The sequence below is a fragment of the Homo sapiens genome, chromosome 6 (assembly GCF_000001405.40).
Source record: "Homo sapiens chromosome 6, GRCh38.p14 Primary Assembly".
Taxonomy (NCBI): Eukaryota; Metazoa; Chordata; class Mammalia; order Primates; family Hominidae; genus Homo; species Homo sapiens.
In genome coordinates this window covers 32,365,161-32,389,294 of record NC_000006.12, presented here as the reverse complement: position 1 = coordinate 32,389,294, position 24,134 = coordinate 32,365,161, and the positions used below count along the sequence as shown (strand labels likewise).

At 41.2% G+C, this 24,134-nt stretch overlaps 1 protein-coding gene and 1 long non-coding RNA gene across 6 annotated transcripts in view; one reads left to right on the top strand and one right to left on the bottom strand.

The window, feature by feature from the left end:
• Positions 1-24,134, bottom strand: part of TSBP1-AS1 (TSBP1 and BTNL2 antisense RNA 1) — a 152,558-nt gene that overhangs the window by 18,436 nt on the left and 109,988 nt on the right. The window contains exons 3-4 of one of the 2 annotated variants that reach the window (NR_136244.1): positions 23,456-23,515; positions 6,025-6,331 (exon numbers count right to left, since the gene is read on the bottom strand). This is a non-coding gene — a long non-coding RNA (TSBP1 and BTNL2 antisense RNA 1). Of the gene's footprint in view, positions 1-6,024; positions 6,332-23,455; positions 23,516-24,134 lie in introns of those variants that run through there. The other variant, NR_136245.1, reaches the window with a different exon arrangement.
• The window catches only part of TSBP1 (testis expressed basic protein 1), a 79,206-nt gene continuing 72,463 nt past the window's right edge, over positions 17,392-24,134 (top strand). For 2 of the 4 annotated variants that reach the window (NM_001286474.2, NM_006781.5), the window contains exons 1-6: positions 17,392-17,601; positions 19,312-19,398; positions 20,481-20,513; positions 21,338-21,370; positions 22,993-23,022; positions 23,108-23,128. In NM_001286474.2, coding sequence (NP_001273403.1) covers positions 17,589-17,601; positions 19,312-19,398; positions 20,481-20,513; positions 21,338-21,370; positions 22,993-23,022; positions 23,108-23,128 — 217 coding nt within the window. In that variant the 5' untranslated portion in view covers positions 17,392-17,588. Of the gene's footprint in view, positions 17,602-19,311; positions 19,399-20,480; positions 20,514-21,337; positions 21,371-22,875; positions 22,909-22,992; positions 23,023-23,107; positions 23,129-24,134 lie in introns of all 4 variants that reach the window. The other 2 variants (XM_024446307.2, NM_001286475.2) reach the window with 2 other exon arrangements.

Here is a 24,134-nt window from a genome sequence, read left to right as displayed (position 1 = left end):
CGTGAAATTTCACCAAGGAGATACATCTACAGGACAGATTGTTAGAGGCACTTGTGGTTTACAGATCTGCAAATACTGTAGAAGAAAAACTAAGGGGATCTCTTCCATCATCAGGAAGAAAGGGTTCATTTAACAGAAGAAGCTCGGCCAGGTGCGGTGGCTCACGCCTGTAATCCCAACACTTTCTGAGGACAAGGCGGGTGGATCACAAGGTAAAGAGATGGAGACCATCTGGGCCAACACGGTGAAACCCTCTCTCTTATACTAAAAATACAAAAATTGTGGTTTCCAGGTTCATCCATGTCCCTACAAAGGATATGAACTCATCCTTTTTTATGGCTGCGTGGGAATTGAACAATGAGAACACCTGGACACAGGGCGGGGAACATCACACACCAGGGTCTGTCGTGGGGTGGGAGGAGCGGGGAGGGATAGCATTAGGAGAAATACCTAATTTAAATGATGAGTTGATGGGTGCAGCAAACCAACATGGCACATGTATACATGTGTAACAAACCTGCACGTTGTGCACATGTACCCTAGAACTTAAAGTATTAAAAAAAATACAAAAATTAGCTGGGCGTGGTGGTACATGCCTATAGTCCCAGCTACTCAGGAGGCTGAGGCAGGAGAATCGCTTGAACCTGGGAGGTGCAGGTTACAGTGAGCAGAGATGGTGCCACAGCACTCCAGCCTGGTGACAGAGCGAGACTCCGTCAAAGAAAAAACAAACAAACAAACAAAAATACACAAACAAACAAAAAGCAGGAGAAGCTCATATTCTATATCCTTGAAGACAACTTGATGATAAACAGCTGGAGAAGTCTTACATGCAGCAAGGACAAGGGAAACCCTCAACAGTGGGCAGAACAGGTCAGGAAGAAAAAGAATGTTAATGTTAGCAATGACTCTTGGTACAGATGTTTCTTTATTTCTACTTTACTGCTTTCTCTCCTAAAGTATAAACTGCAACATTGACTCCTCTTTCATTCACATTCTCACATAGGACACAATTCTGGACTTGCTGACCAGTGAGAACTTATTAAAGAAAAGGGCTCTTTCCTTCCAGAAGGCTTGGGCTCCTCCTCCAATTATTTACAATTATTCATGAGCCTTCTCCGTCCCTTGTCAAAGTCCAAGATTAGCAGTTGATTGTACACTAGAGCCTGAAGAGCAAACACGCTGAGCTATTAAAGGACTTGGACAGATTCCTATGCATCTCCAACAGTGGTAATGGAAGTGAGAATTCACTCTACTGCAATACTTCCCTTCAAACGCCTCCCCTCCTCCATATTTGATAACAAAAATAGTAAGAAGAGATTTCCCTGTAAATGTAGCTTTAAAATTATATACTTCAACACACACTCAGCATGAAAACAGATGAGAAATCCATGAACTTGTTTGGAGTTTTCTTGTGAGAAATAGTTGCTGCCCACAAAGAGACTGTATTTCCCCAATAGCAGCACCGGAGGAAATCTCCCTGGACATTTTCCAGTTCTCTCACTTCACTTTCTGCCTCTTCCTCTTTGACAGAAAGTGAAATCACACCTAGTGAAACTGACCTACTCACCATCCAAGGACAGCTTTCCTGGTGAATGTACCTAGAAGATGCTCCAGTGGAGACAGCAGAGGTGCCAACACTTCGCTGCTTATTATGCTAATAGAACATTAGCTTCCTGGGCAACATCTCTATCACAACTCGTTAAAGAAGTTACAGGGGTAACTGGAAAAGAATCAGGACAATTTTCATGATGATCTAAGCAGAAGGTCACAGATGTGCCAGCACTCTGAAGGCTAGAATAAGGATGGAAAATCCCACAGAAGGTGATTCCAGTAAGAGAATAGATGTGGGACTAATCGACCTCGTTGTGAAAAGACACGTCTCCAGCCTTGCTGTCCTGGAAACCTTCTAGGGGGACAGGGAGGCTCCTGACAGAGTCTCTGGGCAGGAAGTGAGAGCCATGACCCTTCCTTCTTCACATGTCACCATGCAGAAATTCTTCTCTGGACTTTCTACAAACCACCACTCTCTCTTCATTGTGCTGAACAAACACCCAGAGCTCATCTCGTTCCTGGTCCAACTTCTGTCCCCATTATTTACTTCTACCTCCCAGTAATGTCTGTCTCCCCTGTGGTAAAGTAATGTCTCCCCTGTGGTAAACCCAGAACACTGAAGATGGTTTTGGATTCCCCTTGTCCTTGGTGTGTGGGGGCATCCCAGTTCGGGGAACATTCTCCGTTGAAGAAGTGTATCTTCTACCCTCAGATCGGATGAGGTTGGGATGAGCTGCATCTGGATCCAGAGAAACAGCCACTGCATGTATAGTTGGAAAAAAAAAAAAAAAAAAGGAGGAAAGCTGCAAATACTGGGAAGGCAGAATGGAGAAAAACAAGAGGGAGAAAACTGGAAGGTTAGGTAAAACTGTGGTCCGTCCTAGGAGATACACGATGTGTAAGTCCTAGAAGGCTAGGGTTGGGCAAGATCTTCAGTAACCATCTATTCCAGCCAGGCTAGGACTGTCTAGCCAGGATGGCTGTCACACCTGAAAGTGTTCCAGGGTAAGGTTTTCAGGATGGGGTCCTGCCTATTCTTCAAACGCCTGTTACGTTATTGCTTGTTCTTAAAATTAAGTCCTATAGTATTTCCAGTCATGGTGTGTCCACTTTCATTTAAGCCTCTTCATTTTCATTTTCTGTGGGTTTATGTAATAACTGGGCCATCCACTTCTCATACACCTTTATTTCTAGTGATTGAAATCCCAGGCCTTGTAGTCAAAAAGATCTGAATCTTGATAATTGCTCTTTCTTTAGTAGCTCTGATCTTGGTGACGTTACCTTGCTTCTTTCAGGCACACCTAACTCTCATAATAATGCAAATAATTATGGCATTCAGCACAGGACTATTGTGAGAAATAAATGAGATAGCGTATAGGGAACTTAATACTATGACTTCTCTGTGATGAACACTTGGTTCATTTTAGCTTCCAATATTTATAGTAACACTAATAGCAGAGGTGATAGTAGCAATAGTACTAATACTGGTAGTAACTAATCTTCTTTTCAAACCAAACATCCTCAGTAATTAAAATTTTTCTCATAAGAATTTGTATTTGTAAATTAGACCTCTCCCTCTCCTCTCCCTCTCCCTCTCCCCCTCCCCCTCCCCCTCCCCCTCCCCCTCCCCCTCCCCCTCCCCCTCTCCCTCTCCTCCCTCTCCCTCTCCCCTTTCCACAGTCTCCCTCTGGACTGTGCTGCTGCCATCTCGGCTCACTGCAACCTCCCTGCCTGATTCTCCTGCCTCAGCCTGCCCAGTGCCTGCCATTGCAGGCGCGCGCCGCCACGCCTGACGGGTTTTCGTATTTTTTTGGTGGAGACGGAGTTTCGCTGTGTTGGCCGGGCTGGTCTCCAGCTCCTAACCGCGAGTGATCCGCCAGCCTCGGCCTCCCGAGGTGCCGGGATTGCAGACGGAGTCTCGTTAACTCAGTGCTCAATGGTGCCCAGGCTGGAGTGCAGTGGCGTGATCTCGGCTGGCTACAACCTCCACCTCCCAGCCGCCTGCCTTGGCCCCCCAAAGTGCCGAGATTGCAGCCTCTGCCCGGCCGCTACCCCGTCTGGGAAGTGAGGTGCGTCTCTGCCTGGCCGCCCATCGTCTGGGATGTGAGGAGCCCCTCTGCCTGGCTGCCCAGTCTGGAAAATGAGGAGCGTCTCTGCCCGGCCGCCATCCCACCTAGGAAGTGAGGAGCGCCTCTTCCCGGCCACCATCCCATCTAGGAAGTGAGGAGCGTCTCTGCCCGGCCGCCCATCGTCTGAGATGTGGGGAGCGCCTCTGCCCCGCCGCCCCGTCTGGGAGGTGAGGAGCGTCTCTGCCCGGCCGCCCCATCTGAGAAGTGAGGAACCCCTCCGCCTGGCTGCCACCCCGTCTGGGAAGTGAGGAGCGTCTCCGCCCGGCAGCCACCCCATCCGGAAGGGAGGTGGGGGGGTCAGCCCCCTCCCGGCCAGCCACCCCGTCCGGGAGGTGAGGGGCGCCTCTGCCCGGCCGCCCCTACTGGGAAGTGAGGAGCCCCTCTGCCCGGCCAGCCGCCCCGTCCGGGAGGGAGGTGGGGGGGTCAGCCCCCCGCCCGGCCAGCCGCCCCGTCCGGGAGGGAGGTGGGGGAGTCAGCCCCCCGCCTGGCCAGCCGCTCAGTCCGGGAGGGAGGTGGGGGGGTCAGCCCCCCGCCAGGCGAGACGCCCCGTCCGGGAGGGAGGTGGGGGGTCAGCCCCCCGCCCGGCCAGCCGCCCCGTCCAGGAGGGAGGTGGGGGGGTCAGCCCCCCGCCCGGCCAGCCACCCGGTCCGGTAGCTGAGGGGCGCCTCTGCCTGGCCGCCCCTACTGGGAAGTGAGGAGCCCCTCTGCCCGGCCAGCCGCCCCGTCCGGGAGGGAGGTGGGGGGGTCAGTCCCCCGCCCGGCCAGCTGCCCCGTCCGGGAGGGAGGTGGGGGGTCAGCCCCCCGCCCGGCCAGCCGCGCCATCCGGGAGGTGAGGGGCGCCTCTGCCCGGTCGCCCCTACTGGGAAGTGAGGAGCCCCTCTGCCCGGCCACCACCCCGTCTGGGAGGTGTACCCAACAGCTCATTGAGAACGGGCCATGATGACAATGGCGGTTTTGTGGAATAGAAAGAGGGGAAAGGTGGGGAAAAGATTGAGAAATCGGATGGTTGCCGCGTCTGTGTAGAAAGAAGTAGACATGGGAGACTTTTCATTTTGTTCTGTACTAAGAAAAATTCTGCCTTGGGATCCTGTTGATCTGTGACCTTACCCCCAACCCTGTGCTCTCTGAGACATGTGCTGTGTCCACTCAGGGTTGAATGGATTAAGGGTGGTGCAAGATGTGCTTTGTTAAACAGATGCTTGAAGGCAGCATGCTCGTTAAGAGTCATCACCACTCCCTAATCTCAAGTACCCAGGGACACAAACACTGCGGAAGGCCGCAGGGTCCTCTGCCTAGGAAAAGCAGAGACCTTTGTTCACTTGTTTATCTGCTGACCTTCCCTCCACTATTGTCCTGTGACCCTGCCAAATCCCCCTCTGCGAGAAACACCCAAGAATGATCAATTAAAAAAAAAAAGAAAAAGAAACTGCCTCTGTTAGGATCAAAGGTTGAGAAAGTAAGGAGAATACAGAGCTTCCTTCCATAACGGTAGGAAGGCACCAAATTTGAACAGAGTAAGGCTCCTAGTGCCACTGCCTAAAAGGATTGAGATGAGTAGCATAGGTAAGTTCTGCTCCAGGCTTCAGATCACAATTCTAGTAACATAGCACAGTGAGAACATTTTTATTTTTTCTGGACAAGTTTTGCCTCCCCATCGACAGGTTACATAAAGGAAACCCAATTTTTCATTCATCAGCAAAGACTTCCAGGAAAAGGGAGGAAAATTTCCTGTTCTCTCTTAAATGTTGTCAAAAGATTTAAAGCTCTTCATCCTTTTGATTCTCTTTACTTCAGATTCATGAGATAGAGCACACTATGCACAGGGCCAAGGCATCTGAACTAAGAGATGACAAGAAAGAGGGGTACGGCAGAAATAAGCAATAGCCCTGCCAGTACACAGTGTCTTAAGCTCCTACTTCTTGATTTTTTTCTTTTCCATTATTGACATCTGATTGATGTTAGGTAAACAGGTAGAACAAGGGGAATTGGCATGTGTGAGGGCAAAAATCTCACATGGAAATCACTAGATCTCTATAATGGGACAAGTGTCTATGAATTAGCAATGAAACCATAAGTTAGGATAATGTCTTGATGAGAAATGTTCTAGAAATAGCAACCAGATTCCGGTATCAGAAGGGATGGGGATTCATGGTGAGGGTCCAGGCAGGCATTTCTGTGTTTCAAATATTTAATACAATTGAACTGAGAGAAAGTCATGTATCAAGGGCAAAGCTGCTGCATTCAAAGAAGAACTACTAGGATTCAGCTTAGGCTTGCATTTTGGGAACCACTGTAGTAAGTGAGTAATCATAATCCAGAGAGAAGCCACACTTATGACAGATTCTTAGTGAATTAATTATTTATTACTGGTAACAAATTACCTGGAAACTTAGTGGCTTAAAACAACAATTGCATATTATCTTACAGGTCAGGAATTTTGGAGCAGCTTAGCTGGGTAGCTCTGGCTCAGTCTCTCATAGGTTGCAGTGAAGCCATTGGCTGGGGCTGCAGCCATCTGAATCCTTGACTGGGGTTGGGGGTCTCTTTACAAGAAGGCTCATTACATGGCTGTTGACTGAAGGCTTCAGTTCCTCACCAATAGGCCTCTCCACCGAGCCACCTGAGTGTCTTTAAGATTTGGCAGCTGACTTCCCCCAGAACAGATGATGAGAGAGAGAGAAGAGGGGAGGGAAGTGGGGGAGAAGAAGGAAGACTTTAATGTTTTCATGACCTAATATAGGAAGTAACATACCATAATTTCTGCTGTTGTCAACTGGTCATACAGACCACTCCTGCTATAGTGTGAGGGACTATGCAAGAGTGTGATTGTCAGTAGAGAGAATGGTGCAGGGTTTTGATACATGGTCTTTAATTTGGTTGAATCGATCATTCACAGAGGACAGTGTTTTTTGTTTGTTTAATCCTGCCTACCTACCCCCTCACCTTTATTCTGTTTCTAGATAGAGGGAGGCTGGTGTGGTGACTCAAGCCTGTAATCCCAACAGCCGAGCACTTTCGAAGGCCAAGATGGGAGGGTAGCTTAAGGACAGGAATTTGAGACCAGCCTGGGCAACATAGTGAGGCCCCATTTCTACACACATCAAAAAATTAGCTGAGTTTGGTGGCACATGCCTGTAGTCCCAGCTACTCAGGAGGCTGAAGCAGGAGGACAAGGATTGCTTGAGCCTGGGAGATAGAGGCTGCAGTTAGCCATGTCTGTACCACTGCACTCCAGCCTGGGTGACAGAGAGAGACCCTGTCTCTCTCTCTAAAAAAACAAAGAGAGAGATACATGGATTGGCATTCTTTTCTGGAGAGATAGCAATTATGTCCTCCTGACACAGGATTTCTTTTCTTCCCTTTGGATAAAGGATATTTTGCTAATTCAAAAGATTAGGAAAGACAGGGTTGGCAGTTCCACTTACTATATTTATTATTACAGGCTTACTTGACTATAGGCCTAACTAATTTTAAGGACACTGGGTTTATAGAAGAGAATGATGTGAAAGAGGACGTTAGGACAACCTCTGATTCCTAGAGGGGAGGGTATAGCTTTCTCTTCCATATTTGCGAAGCAGGATTTTCCAAAGACATGAGATTGAAAAAAATTGTGGATGTGAGAAGACATAAATTTCATTAGGATGATGAAAAATATTTTTTTTCTCTCACCTCAAATCTATATCATCAGTGTTATAAAGTAAGCTAGGGTCTGTCTCCCTTTCAACCCAGTAGTCTTAAAAGGCTCAAGAAGATTAGGCTTGAATTTCTACTCTCAAACTCAAAATTTTGTAATCTCTCTTTTTTAAATGATTGAAGTATAATTTACAGACATGTATTTTTACAAGCACAGATTATAAGTATTAACAATTGAATACACCCAAGTAATTCATACCTTAATCCAAACAAAGAACATTAATTTTTCACAGGCAACCAGTAGTCTGATTCCCATCATCAAAGTTTAGTTTTGCCTTTTCATTAACTTCATATGGTAATAATACACTATTTGCTCTGTTGTATCTAATTTTTTTCATTCAATATAATGTTGAGATCATGTATATTGCTGTGTATGTTCTTTTAATATTTTAAGTTGAATTTCATTTTATGAATATGCTTCAGTTTTTTCCACTCATTTTTCTGCTGATGGATACCTGGATGTTTCTAGGTTTGGGCTATTATTAATAAAATTGCTATGAACATTCTCTTTCAAGTCTATTGTGGACACATATTTCATTTCTTTTATACTTTTCATTCCATATACAATGTCTGGGTCAAAGAGTAGGTATGTGTTTAATTTTATAAAATACTACAAATCAGTTTTCCAAAGTGGCTGCACTATTTTACATTCAAATAAGCAATGTATGAGAGTTTCAGTGACTCCACATAACCAATAATTGATATTTTCAGCCTTTTAAATTATATCCAGGTCAGTGAGTGTAAAGTAATAACTCATTTTGGTTTGCATTTTCCTGATGATTATGTTGAATTCTTTAGTCATCTATCTTCATTTATGAAATATTCATTCAAATCTTTGTTCTATTTTGTTGCATTATTTAATATTTTTATGAAGTTGAAGAAATTCTTCAAATAGTCTAGATACAACACTTTTGTTAGGTCTCTTCCTTTATGTAGGTATTTTTAAATTTTTATCTGAAGGGTTTTGCAGTTTTCAGTGTAGGTATCTTGCATATACTTTGTTAACTATATTCTTAAGAATTTTATACTATTTGATTCTATTGTAAGTGATATATTCATTTTCCAAATGTTAATTACTAATGTATGGAAATAAAATTTATTTTCATTATTAATTTTGTACACTGAGACCTTGCTAAAATCCCTGATTAATTATTCTAGAAGTTTGGTGGTTTTATAGATTCCATTCGATTATCTAAGTACTTAAGCACATTATGTGTGAATGACAATACTGTGTTCTTTCTTTCCAATCTTTATTACTTTTAATTAATTAATTATTTTGCTTTATTCTTCTGGCCAGGTCCTCCTCACTACTGGAAGTACTAATAGAGGACATTCTTTTCTTGTTCTCGATTTTAGGGGTAAAGTGAGCAATACAACACTACTGTTATTGATGTTAGCTTTTGATTCTTCCCTGGCACTATTTAGTAGACTCAGAAAATTTTCTTCTATTCTTACATTGCTAGAGGATATTGTTGCTGCTGTTGTTTTATTTTTAAAATCATGAGTGGATATTAACTTTTATTTTAAAATGTTTGTGCCATCTAAGATTATATAGTTTTTATTTTCTTGTTTTTAATTTTGTTTTTGCTTTATATTAGGTATATAATTTCATAATTGTATTAATGTATTACAAAATTTATATTTTTAAGATTAAACTACACTTAATTATATGTATTTTTTACTAGATTTATCTTACTGTTTTAATTAGAATCTTTGCATCTGTGCAAACAATTCTGTAGGTTTTCTTTTCACTCTCTTGATAAGTGTATTTTGATGCACAAAAGTTTTTAATTTTTACGAAGCCCAATTTATGTAATTTTTCTTTTGTGGTCTGTGCTTTTGGTGTCATTTTAAAGAAGCCATTACCTAATCCAAAGTCATGAAGATTTTTCCCTTGTTCTCTTTTAAGAGTTTTACAGTTTTATCACTTAAATTTAGGTCTTTGGTTCAATTTGATTGAATTTGCACATGGCTTAAAGTAAGAATCCAACTTCATTCTTCCTGCATGTGGGTGTCTAATTTTCCCAACACCATTTGTCAAAGACCACCGTTTCCCCATTGAATGGTCTTGGCACCCGTGGTAAATGAATTGAGAGTTCACTTCTGGCCTCTCAATGCTTCTCCATTTGTCTCTGTATTTTTCTTTATACCAGTGCTGCATGTGCTCTTGATTACTGTAACTTTGTATTAAGTTTTGAAACTGGGGAGTGAGAGTCCTGCAAATTTGTTTCTTGTTTTTCAAGATTGTTTTGGTTACTTGAGGTCCTTTTATGTTCCACATGAATTTTAAGAGAGATTTTTCTATTTCTATCCAAAAAATAATGCCATTAAGATTTTGGTAAGGAATTACATTGAATCTCCCTATCACATTGGATAATATTGTCACCTTAGTAATATTAAGTTTTCCAATCCATGGCTGTAGGAAGTCTTTTAAATAAAGAGGTATATCTATATTTACATAGGTTTGTTTTCAATATTTATATAATTTTATATGCTTTACTGGTATATAAATAAATTTGATTTATATTTAATATTTTCTTTTATAATAGAAAATAATATATATATTTATGAGGCATAATATCAAGTTTTGACAGATATATGTACCTCAAAACTATTTATATATATTTCATACACAGCATATATATTATGTACAACATAATGTATATTATATATTACATATATTTATAGACTATAAATATATATACTAATATGTAACTATATATAAATAATATATAACTACATATTCATAGATATATATAACTATATACAAATATATAAAAGTATAAAAATAAATCTATATATTATATATAGTGGAATTATTAAATTAAGCTATATAGTGAATGATTGAATTAAACTGATTAACATAATCATCACTTCACATGCTTATCAATTTTTTTTGGTTAACAGACTGAAATTTCCTCTTTGTAATTTGTAAAATATACATTATTATTAGCAATATATTTCAAAAACATATTGCTCTTGTGTAACTGAAACCTTGTACTCTTTGACCAACATCTTCTCATCTTCCCCATATTCGCCCCACTTCCCCAGCCTGTAATCACCATTCTGCTCTCCACTCCTATGAGTCTGACTTTTTAGATTCCATGTATAAGTGAGATCACAGTATTTGTCTTTCTGTGCCTGGCTATTTTACTTAGAATAAAAAGAATCAGATTGCACCTAGCTCAGTTAACCCCTTGACTCCAGGTATAGAAATAATAAAAACACAAAATCAAACAAATTTTATGTGTGTGTCTATCATCTATCTATCTATCTATCTATCTATCAAATGTCTATTTAAATACCATCTTTGACATTGCCATGGAGGATTATTATCCATATCATGATAATTTAGTAGATTGGCCCAGGGAATAGATAAACATTGGTGTTACCATACAATTTATAAATGTAGTTTTTAAAGAAAATGTCAAAGTATGTGGTTTAATTTGTAAAGTATATATTCTCATTTCGAATCTCTAAATGTAATATGTTTGTTTTCTCAACAGTATTACCCTGTTTCCAAATATTGCTTAAGGAGCCAATATGTCACAAAAGTTTTGCAGCAAGCAAATAAAATAAAATAAAATATGTATTTATTTTTACTCTAAAAACTATACATGCCTCTTTATTTATAGAGAGCTATAGCTATATCTGGATATCTATAAGACAAAGTTTTTTTACATTTAATCCACATATTTTGAACTTTTTAAAAAGATGTATTCCTAGGTAGTGTGTAATTTTGATGATAATGTGAATTGTATTTTCTTTTCAAATTGTATGTTCTCTTCATTTCTGTCTTATAAAAATGTGTTGGTTCTTGGATATTATTCTTGTATTTAATAACCTTGGTAAACTTATTAATTCCAAAAATTTAGCTGTAGTATTTCTTGCAATTTCTAAATACACAATAATGCCAACTGCATATGACAGTTTTATTTGCTCTAGTCCAATATTTGTTGAAAGTCCCCACCTCTGATATATATCCTTTTGTCAGAGTTTGTCATTGAAATACTAAGATACCCTATATTTCTGTTATTCTAGAAGTTAAGAAACAAAATCAGAGCTAAAACTTGCCAACTGGTTGGACCCAGTAACCCAGAGAGGGGACAGACTTTTCTTGTTAGATCCCATCTAAGCCACGTAGGCTTGAGACACAGATTCTGGAACCTGAGGGAAAGAAAAATGTGTTTGCAGATATAAAATATGGATTTAAAAAAATCATCAGGGAAAGAAAATGTCTATGGCAAAGGGCCTAAGATTAGAATCTACTACGCTCAGCGAAGTTGCACTCTCATCTAAGAAGTTCTTATCTAAATAACTGCCCTTTAGAAGCCCTCTGTTAATCAATAAACAGCTGTATAATTAGACATTACTTTCTTTTCTGACAACTACTCCCACTTAACTCTATTTCTGTTCACTTTTCTTCCCTTCCTTAGTTTTCAGACATTGTCTCAGGTGTATCCTTAGACCCTTTAACCCTGGTCTGCATGAAATTCCATACTTATATTTATGTTCTCCTTAATGCCTAGGTATTGGCAATCTTTGGCAGTCATTCCCTTATCCCCAGTGGGGAAAATACTGCTACAAATTTAAATGCATTTCACCACTTTAGTAGTTCACAAACTAGACAAAGGTACTGTCAATGATTGCCTGGATAACTCTTAACAGTAGTCTCCTTGCTTCTTCTTTTCCTCCCACTACTGTCTTTTCTTAACACAGCAGCAAAATTGTTTTATGTCTTTATGCAGACATAGGTAAAAACGTGTCATTTGCCTACATAATGACCCATCTTATCTCTTTATTTCATTCAAGTTAAAATCAAAGTCCTGTCAGTAGCTCACTAGATGTTACAATTTTTTTTGAGGCGGGGTCTTGCTCTGTTGCCCAGGCTGGAGTACAGTGGAACAATCATAGCTCACTGCAGCCTCAACCTCCTGGGATCAAAGGGTCTTCCCCTGCCTCAGTCTTCTGAGTAACTGGACTACAGGTGCATGCCACCATGCCTGGCTAATTTTTTTATTATTTTGTAGAGACGGGGTCTTGCCATCTTTCCCCAGCTGGTCTTGAATTCCTAGGTTCAAGGGGTCTTCCCACCTTGGCCTCCCAAAGTGCTGGGATTACAGGCATGAGCCACCATGCCTGGCTGATCCATTATCTTTCTAACTTATTTTCCTACTGTTGTTTTCCTGGATCAGTTCATACCAGTGACACTGGCCACTTCATATTCCTTGAAAACACCAGACACATTCCTATCTTACGGTCTTTGCTGTAGTTGTCTTCTCTGCCTGGAAAACTCTTCACTCAGAAATCCACTTAGATGTCTACCCTACTTCCCCCAAGTATTGCCTTCTCACAGAGGTATATCCAGGATAATCTATTTAAATCGAAATCCCACTGCAGCTGCCAGTAGTTCTCTTTCACTGACTTGCTTTTTCACTTTTCACAGCAGTTACCACCTTCTAAGATACTGAAATGGGAAAGGTCTTCTTGTCCCCCTCACAGGGCTTGCAACAGCGGGAGTGGCTCACTTCTTCAGTGCCCTGCTGCTCAAACCTCTAGGGAGAGCATACAGACGGACAGGATGTGGGGCTCTGGCCTCACGGCAGCATCTAGGGGTGTATGTTTACAGTTCCTGAAGCCCCAGTGGGCATGTGTTACTGTGTGCTCTTTTAGTTTTGCCATGTATAGGCAGCTAGTGTTAACTAGCTCAATTAGACCCTCTGCCTTATTGCAAGGACAGAGGGCTTTCTGTATCCCAGGTTCTTACCTTGGTGTACCAGAAAAATCAGATCACATGTGGGCTTGAAGAATGAGAGCAAGGTCTTATTGAGTGGAAGTGGCTCTCAGCAGATGGGGGAGCCAGAAGGGAGATGGAGTGGGAAGGTGGTTTTCCCCTGGAGTCAGGCTGCTCAGCAGCTGGGTTCCCCTCCAACTGCCCTGGCCAAACTCCATTTTGTTCCGCTGGTCAATGGCCTGCCAGCATGCCAGCATCTGCTGGTTCCTGTTGGCATGATCTTTAACCGATGTGTCCCTCTTGACATCCAGCCACTTGTGTGTTCTTCCACTGATGTGTTCCTTTTGACGTCCAGCCGCTTCTGTCCCTGCCTGCTAGGGTCTCAGGATTTTTACAGGCACAGGATGGGGGCATGGCAGGCCAGGGTGGTCTTGGGAAATGCAACATTTGGGCATGAAGGCAGGAGTGTCTGTCCTTACCTAGGTCTGTGGGCACAGGCCCAGGGGTGGAGCCTTAGCCAGGGACCATGCCCTTCCCTTACCAGCACTTCCCTGCCCCTCTTCTATATCACCTCCCCTGTCTGAAGAGGTACATCTAACTGCTGTTCGAATATGGATGATGACGGGTCTTAGCTGCTTCCTGCTGATAGGGGCATCGTTTTGGGGAAAACGGCAGTCAGATTCTTCCCAGAGGTCTATATAAGGGTTCCTAGCAAAGGGGAGCCATCATCCAAGGCTCCGGTTCCCTGACCATTTGGAGGTTGATGGCTTCCAGGTGTGAGAGAAAAAACAAGTTTTATAAGGTTAAGTATGCATGGATTATATATACTTGGGTATGTATACCCAAGTTATACACACTGTAACTACATACATACATACTATACATACTATAATAAATACGTGTATTATACAAGGAAAAAAAATTAGTGCCAAAGATTACAGAGATAAGAAGTGAAATATACTAACAACAACATTGTACCCTGAGATGTTTCACCCTGGTGAAAGAAATTAAACCTTGTATGGGAGTGGATAAACTTTTAGAATGAGATAACTGTTCTGGCCATATCTTTAGTAGTTAACAGGTGTACCCTGGGAATTCTGGGGTTTGTGGGCTTGCCTGGTGGCCATTAAAGCTTCTGTGTCTTTCCTGTATTTCCTCTCTCTTTCCTGGGCCTCCCTGTCTGTATTATAAAAGACCAAGGTGGCCACTTTCAGAAGGTCCTCTAATGTACTATCCGGTCCCAGGGCCCGTTTCTGCAACTTCCTCCTGAGGTCAGGAGCTGCCTGAGTAATAAATTTATCCTTTAGGGTTAGCTGTCCCTCTACTGAATCAGGAGATAGACAGGTATGCTTTACCAAGGCCTCTCTTAGTCTCTCCAGGAAGGCAGCAGGATTTTCATCAAATACCTCGTCGATCATGGACAACTTAGTATAATTGAGAGGCTTGGTCTTAGTCCTACAAAAGCCTTCCATTATGCACATCTGAAAGCGTCTCCTCTTCCAGTCTTCCACCTGTCATTGGGATCCCACTTAGGGTCATTCACTTTTACTGCTTCTCTTCCAGTTGGATAATGTTTGCTCCCTTCCCTGATGCCATATGTGATACAAAGCTCATTCCCAAATCTCTTTACTGCTTGCAGAGCGGCCTGCTTCTCAGTGTCCATCAGGGTCTGATTCAAAAGTAGCATAACATCTCTCCAGGAGAGTTTAAATATATGGGTGAAAGTCTGGAAAACCTCTATATATCTATAAGGGTCATCTGAAAGCTTGCCAAGATCCCCCTTGGTTTGCTTTAAATCCTGTAGGAAGAAGGTGACCTGGACCTTACTGGGCGCAAATTCACTGGGCATTTGTTGGAGGGGCAAAAGTGAGACTGGTTGAATGTTGAAGGTGTACCTCAACACACACACACACACACACACACACACACACACACACACACACAGAGTTCCTTGGCACAGACTAGCATAGTGTTTGCTTTGGTTCTAGGCATTGTCTCTGTTCAATCATTAGCTAATGACTAAGCTAACCGGGCAGAAACATCAAACGTTACATTCAGGAAAGAATGGAGACTTTATAAAATTAGATCAGAAAAATCTTTAAACAAACAAACAAACAAGTAGTAATACAACAAATGCAACAACAGCAAACTCTGTAGAGGGAGGAAATCTGGTTTCTAAATTGCAACATTATAATATTCAAAATGTCTAGATTTCAGCAAAAAATAATGAAGCATGTAAAGAGAAAAGAAATCATGACCCATGCACAGAAAATAATAAAAAGAAACTGTTTCTGAAGAAGCCCAGACATTGTAATTAGCAGAATAAGACATGTCTAAAAAATAAAGTATAAGAATGATGTCTCAGCAATTTGAGAATATCAGAAGGAGAAATTATAGAAATAAATAGCAATTCTGCAGGTTAAAAATACTGACTTGCAAGGTTTCCGTTGAGAAGTCTGGTAATGGACTTATGGGAGATCTCTTACACATGATGTTTCTTTCAGAATTCTCTCTTTGTGTTTGACCTTTGACAATTTGATTATAATATATCTTGGAGTATGTCTTTTTTGAATTGAACTTGCTTGGGATGCTTTGATCGTCTTCAATCCGGATGTTCATATCCCTCTCAAGATTTGGAAAATTTTCAGATAATATTCCATTGATTAAGCTTACTGCCCCTTCCTCTTTTTCTTCTTTTGGTACTTCCATAATTCATATATTTGTATGTTTGATGGTGTTCCATAAGTATGCATAAAACACTTATGGAAAAATAATCTCAACAATTTTGAGATTATTTTTGGCAGGTGGAGCATCCTAAAACTAGAAGTCATCACCTTCCTCTTCAAGTGACTGACTTCTTAACTTAGAAATCACCACCACAGGATGCATAGAAGACTGAAACAAAATGTGGCTTTGTGAATACAGTGTGGGCTTTGGAGTCAGAAACTCTGCCATTTGTTGGCTGGGTAACTTCTAGTGTCTCTCTCCATCTCAAAGAATTTCATCGTACAGTTTATTAGGGATTAAACAAGTTTGTGCTTATAAGGTACCCACTATAGAACTTTGTAGTCAATAGACACTCAATAAAAGGTGTTATTACTCTTCCTTGTTCTCCACAGTGGCTTATGAGATCCCATTTACTGGCTCACTCTTCCTAGCACCATAGACCTCTGGACTGGATTTCTTCTTGCTATCTAACTCCAACAACTTGACTTCCTTTGTTCACCTTCATTTGTTTCAAGGCTCTTCTTTTTTTAACTTTTAGTTTTAAGGGTACATGTATGTAATTGTTTGTTATATGGGTAAACTGTGTGTTGTGGGGGTTTGGTGTACAGATTCTTTAGTCACCTGGGTAATAAGCATAAAACCCAAGAGATATGCTGTCTCCCTCCTCCTAGCCTCCACCCTTAAGTAGGCCCCAGTGTCTGTTGTTCCCCTCTTAGTGTCCATGTGTTCTTGTTGTTTAGCTCCCACTTATAAGTGAGAACATATGGTATTTGGTTTTCTGTTCCTGCTTTAGTTTGCTTAGAATAGTGGTCTCCACCTCCATCCATGTTGCTGCAAAGGACATCATCTCATTATTTTTTATGGTTGTGTAGTATTCCACGGTGTATATTTACCACATTTTCTTTATCCAGTCTGCCTCTTTTTAAATATAGTCATTTTTCTCATTTTTAATTATCAAACATTTATAAAATGCTTATTCTGTGGAAGGTTCTCTGCCTCAAGAGTTACAAACATTAGGCTGGGCACGGTGGCTCACGCCTGTAATCCCAGCACTCTGGGAGGCCAAGGCGGGTGGATCACCTGAGGTAGGGAGTTTGACACCAGCCTGACCGACATGGAGAAACCCCATCTCTACTAAAAATACAAAATTAGCTGGGTGTGGTGGCGCATGCCTGTAATCCCAGCTACTTGGGAGGCTGAGGCAGGAGAATTGCTTAAACCCAGGAAGTGGAGGTTGCAGTGAGCCGAAATGGTGCCACTGCTCTCCAGCCTGGGCAACAAGAGTGAAACTCTATCTTCAAAAAAAATTAAAAAAAAGAGTTACAAAGATTAATGATGTACAATCTCTGGCCTTAAAAATCTCTGAAAAACTAGAAATAATTCTAAAGCCCAGAAAGAGTGAGTTCCCTTCCAGTATCCTATACAAGTTCAAGGTCCTCCAAAGCATTATTAAATCTTCCTAGCCTTTTGATCCTCTGCCTTTTCTCCTGCCTCACTAATGTTCTAAGTCTCTGTTATGACACAGATTCTAGAACCTTCACAGGCCACACTCCCATCATTTGCTTAGGTCTGATCAATCTGCTCCACACAATTTCTCAGTGATCCTCTGCATCTCTGCCTACAAGGGCCTCCCTGACACCCAAGTTCATATTGCTCAGAAACAGTGAACTTGAGTTTTTCGTTTTACCTTGATCTCTCTCTGACAAAGAAATCCAGATGATGCGAGACCTGATGAAGACAATACATGGAAAATGACAGTCTTGGGTATGGACTAACTCCCTCTTTGAGGCTTCCTCAACTCTAGTAGTTCAGGAGTCTCCTCTTAGGGACTTAGGGACTTTAACACAACTGCTTTATCTTCCTTGCCTGCTTCCTTTTCAAATTCAGTATTTTTTCTTTCACTCTTATTGATTCCTCTGGAAGCCTGGGGGAAACAACCCACAGTTAACTAAGCTCTAGGCTGATAGTGCTGGTTTCTCCTTTGGTTTCTAGAGTTTAAACTGAACAAAGAAAATAACCATCCTCCGTAGCACTAGGAAAAATTCCTTAGCCCATTATCTCACTTCCTGTAGCATGGTCACTCTATATAATCTGCCTCAACTCAGAAATAATGATTTCCTCTCATTTTCCCTATTAATAGGGTGGACCATCTTCTAACTGCCCTATAGACAGGGCATTTCAGACACTAAAGGAAGAAAAGGAATATACAGTAGTACTGAGTACACCATCTAGTTATCCTTTCCTCCCCGATGAGTTATTTAACACTAGAAAAAAAAAATTCACATAATAGAGGGCATATTGACTACTTGCTGTTCATTTTAGAGGTACATTAGTAGAAAATCTCCAAAAGTTGATTTGGCAGGAGAATTTTCTCACAGGACCAAACACCTAGAAGACTCAGTAGACAAATGCCTAATCTGCCCTGGTTGGAGGTGTGTTATTATATCTTGAGATGGATTCACCTATTGTTCGTTTGAAGTAGTCTTAATGTGGGTGTAATCTACTTTCCTAGTCTTTCAGAGCTCAATATTCTTCAGAGTTTTTACTTTCACAGGCAGTTTTATGGTTGTTTTTTTCTTCTTTCCTTTCTCTCTCTCTCTCTTTTCTTTTTTTTCTCCCCCGATCCTTCATAGCCACTGCCCTTTATAACCATATGATATTGTCTAAGATTTTTCTCTCCTATGACTGCAAGACTCTATCTTACATCAATTGAATGCAGATCAATGACACATAAACAAACACAAGTTAAGCAATCCCAGCATATTTTATCCTACTAACCACAATAACAAACCTCGCAAATATCCATCTTATCATCAGGAGGTTGGCAAGTGATGGCTGAAAGGTTTTTCTGTGACAAGAAATTTCTGTCCTTTGCTGTGGCTTTCATTAATAAAACCACCTTCAGTCAGCACCCTTCAGTCAAGGTGCTGAAAGTTTTTTGATCACTCACTCATAAAAATGTTTTGAGTATGCATTGCCTATAAAAGTATATTTATAAATCTTATTTATAGCCATATATATATATATATATATATATATATATATATATACAGAAAATCTTGCAACTTTAAAGGTATGAGTTAAAATTACACAGAAAATAGAAGTTCTAATATTTTCCCCATACCCCAGTGGATAGCTTCGTAGACCACTGATTCCCTTTAACATTCTTCCTGCCTGGGGAGTAAAGGGTTCAACTGAGGAGGAAATCTGTCAGATTTCCAACTCTAAACCAAGGGTACACAGCATCTGAGGTTCTTAGTATACGACCAAAGAACCAATGTAAGAGCTAAAAATGGGCAGGGGCGGGAATGTGAGGACAGTAATATGCGGCAAATAAAAGAATAAAGGAGTTGAAGTAGCAGAAAGGGGAAAGAAAAAAAGTCTATCTGGTGGATAGTAAGAGGTGATCAGAAGTTGTTTCTGGTAATTTCCTGGTCTAAATAAGCATGTTTACAGGTGAGTTTTTGTTTTCAGAAATAACTTTGGCTGTCATCCTGACTCTACTGGGACTTGCCATCCTGGCTATTTTGTTAACAAGATGGGCACGATGTAAGCAAAGTGGTGAGTAATAATGAGTCAAAATGAAGATTTCCTGTGAAAACCACGGAGGGAGGGATGCCAAGATTCAGTCTGAGTTCATCTCACTCATCAAACAGCTAGAGACTTTGCCAATATTCTGGGAATCTGTTTCAATACTTGAGTCAAAGAATCTCTGACCTATTAGTGATTGTCCCTGCACTTTTAACTCCCAAGGTTTACATTATCAATAATGTCAAAGAAAAAGTCACAGGCCGGGAGCGGTGGCTCACGCCTGTAATCCCAGCACTTTGGGAGGCCAAGGCGGGCGGATCACAAGGTCAGGAGTTCAAGACCAGCCTGACCAAAATGGTGAAACCCTGTCTCTTCTAAAAATACAAAAATTAGCTGGGCATGGTGGCAGGTAACTGTAAGCCTAGCCGCTCGGGAGACTGAGGCAGGAGAATTGTTTGAACCCAGGAGACGGAGGTTGCAGTGAGCCGAGATCACGCCATTGCACTCCAGCCTGGGTGACAGTGCAAGACTCCATCTCAAAAAAAAAAAAAAATCACAGAGTTTAGCAAAAGTAATAAGAATATTTTAAAAGAAAATTACCTGAGCTCCAAGGGAAATTACCTGAGTTTAAAAAAAAAAAATAGAAGTGAGAAGACAGTATGTTGCTAAACACCAGTATCTAGTATTATATAAAAAGAATTGGAGACTTTTAGTGACTTAATTTGGGGAGATGATAAGAAGAGACAAATACAGAGTAGTACTTGTCGATGAAATAGAGATGGAGCTCATAAAAGCTAAGACCTATTTCTATGCCATAAGGTCTCTCTTTCCTGGATTTTTCTGTTTCTCTCCCACAACTTTCTAATCAGCTGTATTCCCTCCCTGTTTCCCATCCTCAATGCCTGTGAGCCCTCAAAGCATAAGTAGTGTGAAAAGATAGGTAAAACAGGGCTGATGGGAGATGTGGAAAATGGGTGAGAACAACAATGCATTATATCAGGAGGACCACCTTGGTAAGCAAGAAGCATAGCTTAGAGTGAGAAGAGTTTGATCAGAGGAAGAACACTTCTCCTAAGTAACTAATAAAAACATTTTGCCTAATTCTTCCACAGAAATGTATATCTCCAGATACAGTTCAGAACAAAGTAAGTACTTATACTCATGAGAAAAATAAATATAGTACTTATAGAATTTTCACAAGTCAGGAAAGAAATCTGTCTTGTTTACAGTTGTGTTTCCAGAACCTTGCATAGTGCACCATTGCATGAACTGAACTGCTTCTAAGTGAGTGGGAGAAATCTACCAGAGATTTCTGAGCAGTACTGAATGCCAAACTGGAGTTGGGGAGAATTAATTAATACTGGGTAGGCCTGCATAATTCTGAGGCTCCCTTCAGATGCTTCCTGTGGTCTGAGAGCAGCAACAGAGAACTGTTCCAGTTCAGGCACTGGAACAGATGGTTCAGTAAAAAGCCTAAATCCATTCATGAAGATGGCCTTAGTGAAGTGGCCGGACCAAAAAATATAATGTATCCTAGAATAACGAGAGTGAACACAGTTAGGGTAATTATGATTGACAAGAGTACCAACTTCAGGATGTGAAGAATTGAAGAAGACTTTCCATGGAAAGGTCTGGAGAGATGCCAAAGTTGTTAAGAAAGATAGCACAGGATTGGTATGAGGCAAAAACCAGGAGACTAGCTGCTGAAGTATCAAGAGGTAAAAGAAACTCTGAAACTCCTTCTGACTATCATTTAGCCTGGCTAATATTATAAAATTGGTGATTGACACAGTCACTTATCATCGTCAGCTCTTGTAGCTTATGCACAATTCCTAGTTCCTGCAAAGTAAATTAATTCACATCATTATTCACCATTAGGAGTTCATGTTTACATTAGTTCTCAGAGTCTTAAATAAAGCCTCATTTAATAATCAAGAAGCAAAATCATGTGCTCTCCCTTTTTTTCTAGGTGCTAGACTTCTGGACTATGAGGATGGTAGAGGTAAATAGATTAGGAACTACTAGACAGTTAATGAAGGAATATACTCTTTAGAGTGTGAATCAACTCATCTCCATTTGAGCATGATTTGTTGAGTCAGCATATCTTTCGTTTTTATAATATTCAAATGCTTATCACTCCTCTCTTTCTCAAGAAAAATTGTGCATTTTTCTCAGAAAAGGTAAATAGTTCTCCTTCTTAAGACCATCAAAAGAATTCATTTCCATCTTCTGTCTACTTCCAAGATATTAGAAAGGTTAAGGAACCGCTCCGAAACAATTTCCTGGATGTTTAAAATGTGGATAAAATGAATATGAAATGGAATAGTATATGTGAAAATACACTTTGAAAGCCATACAGTAGAAGAGGTAAACAAAGCTTATCCCCATTTAAGAAGATGAAATTTATGCTCAAAAGATTGAGACTTACTCAAGTTCACCTAGCTGAGGAGGGAGCTGGATATCAAATTCAGGTTTTGAAACGTGAGAGTTATGAGAAGACGGCAATGCGCTGTCTACTTTTTTGAAGGGACACACCAGTACCACTAATTTCAATGTACCATGGCTATCCCTAACCCTCACGCCCCAACACTCAATGTTCTCTTTCAGTATCCACTCACCAGGGCTGCCTATAGATGTTCCCTCGGCTGTCTCTCTCTCTCTTTCTCTCTCTCTCTCTCTCTCTTTCCTTCCCTCTTTCTCTCTTTCTGACTAGTCCTATCTCCAGAACTCAACAAGAACCACTAGAGCTACCTCTCATTCTTGCTGGAAGCCACTAAAGTTGTCCACACCAGGCCCACCAGCTACACCAGAACTATAAGGTTATGAGATTGTGGATGTGGAAATAATTACACACACACACACACACACACACACGCTACAAGCATATAGATCCCTGAGAGTTGAGGAAAGAAAAGAGAAAGTAACTCAGTCACTTCGCTTGCTGTCCATGCCCCACACTTGGACTCTTGGTCCATCCTTCTCCTTCTTACCTCTATGATTCATCTATCATGAACAACAAGAGTGAAGAGCACAGTGCCATGGCATTCCCTCTTTATTTTCTGAAATGGAACCTAAAGAAAATGGGAATATCTGGGAAACTAGCAAATCTTTTAGTAGTTGGATTGAGACTAATGATAAACTTTTTTTTTTTTTTTTTTTTTTTTGAGACGGAGTCTCGCACTGTCGCCCAGGCTGGAGTGCAGTGGCGCAATCTCGGCTCACTGCAAGCTCCGCCTCCCGGGTTCACGCCATTCTCCTCTCTCAGCCTTCTGAGCAGTGACCACAGGCACCTGCCACCATGCCCGGCCAATTTTTTTGTGTGTTTTTAGTAGAGACGGGGTTTCACCGTGTTAGCCAGGATGGTCTCGATCTCCTGACCTCGTGATCCACCCGCCTCGGCCTCCCAAAGTGCTGGGAACATAGGCGTGAGCCACCACGCCCGGCCCGATAAACTTATTTTTTCATGAACTGTTGGTAAAGTTAATATGTTTTTTTCTTTCCTAAAAGATTTTTCTTCTCAGAGATCTAAAAGAGGAAGAGGTAAACAGATTTCTATCTAACAAAAAATAATATAGACTCACTTGTTGAAGTAAAATCTCATTATGTTTTTATCTTCTCTTTTAGGATCCCGACATGCATATTCAACACAAAGTGGTAAATTATTGTATTGCTAAGAAATTAATATAGGAGTCTGTTTATGAGAAATTAAGAATCTTATAATTTTTCTTCAATTCTCTAGACACTTCATATGATAACCGAGGTAAGTATATGTAGAGATTTTTGTAAAATTAAAGGAAAATCAGGCTTCTTCCTGCCACAACATAAAAGGCTATAAAAACTGACCAAAATTTAAAAAAGAAGAAGAAATCAAAGTAGTTACAGAATATTCTGAGAAATGTTCACAAATGTTCACCATCACGCTATGAGGCACCATTTTCCCCAAAGCTATGCAATTCCTCTCCTATCCAACTCCTAATTATTTAACAAAAGTAATATGAGAGAAAGGCATCAGCAAAATAGTAGAATAGGAGCTTTCTTCCCACACAGAAGCATCAATTTAGACAACTATCCACAGATGAGACAATACCATTGTGGGAGTCCAGGAGTCCAGCAGAGAAGTTCCAGCACGCTGTCAGGTTATAAAATCCTAGAACAGATGTATTAAAGAGGGTAAGAAGAACAGTTTCACTTTACCCACATCACTCCTCCCCCAAGGTGGCACAACTCAATGCTGAGACAGACCCACTTGGCCCACAATTTCTCCCACAGAAAAAATGTGCAGAACTTAATGAGTGCCCACATCCCCCAGCCATTCAGGATGCTGTCCGATAAGCCCACTTATTTCTCACTCCACCCAGAACATTGAGATGATCAGCATAGTTGAATGGTTAGGAGAGGCTGGGAGCAGGGAAAAGAGACTGCAGAACCCACTCATCAGAAAGCCTCATCAGAAAGCCTGCCATTTGAGATGCGTGACCTATGCTCCTTGCACTACTGACCCACAGGCATGCCTTTCACACATTTCACTCTCCCATCTAGGCTGAGTCCCCAAATGAGCCACCATGGACAACAAAAGGAAACATCTCACAGTCAGTTTGACTTTGTGGGATTGGAAAAAAGGACACAAACTTGAGAATTCCAGAGCACCACCCTAGGGAAAACAAAGGGAAGGCTCTCAGAACCTGGACTGGCTTTGCAGGATTGAGAGAAAGCACAATCTTAGAAATCCCATCTACCCTGGGTGTGGTAGTTCATGCCTGAAATCC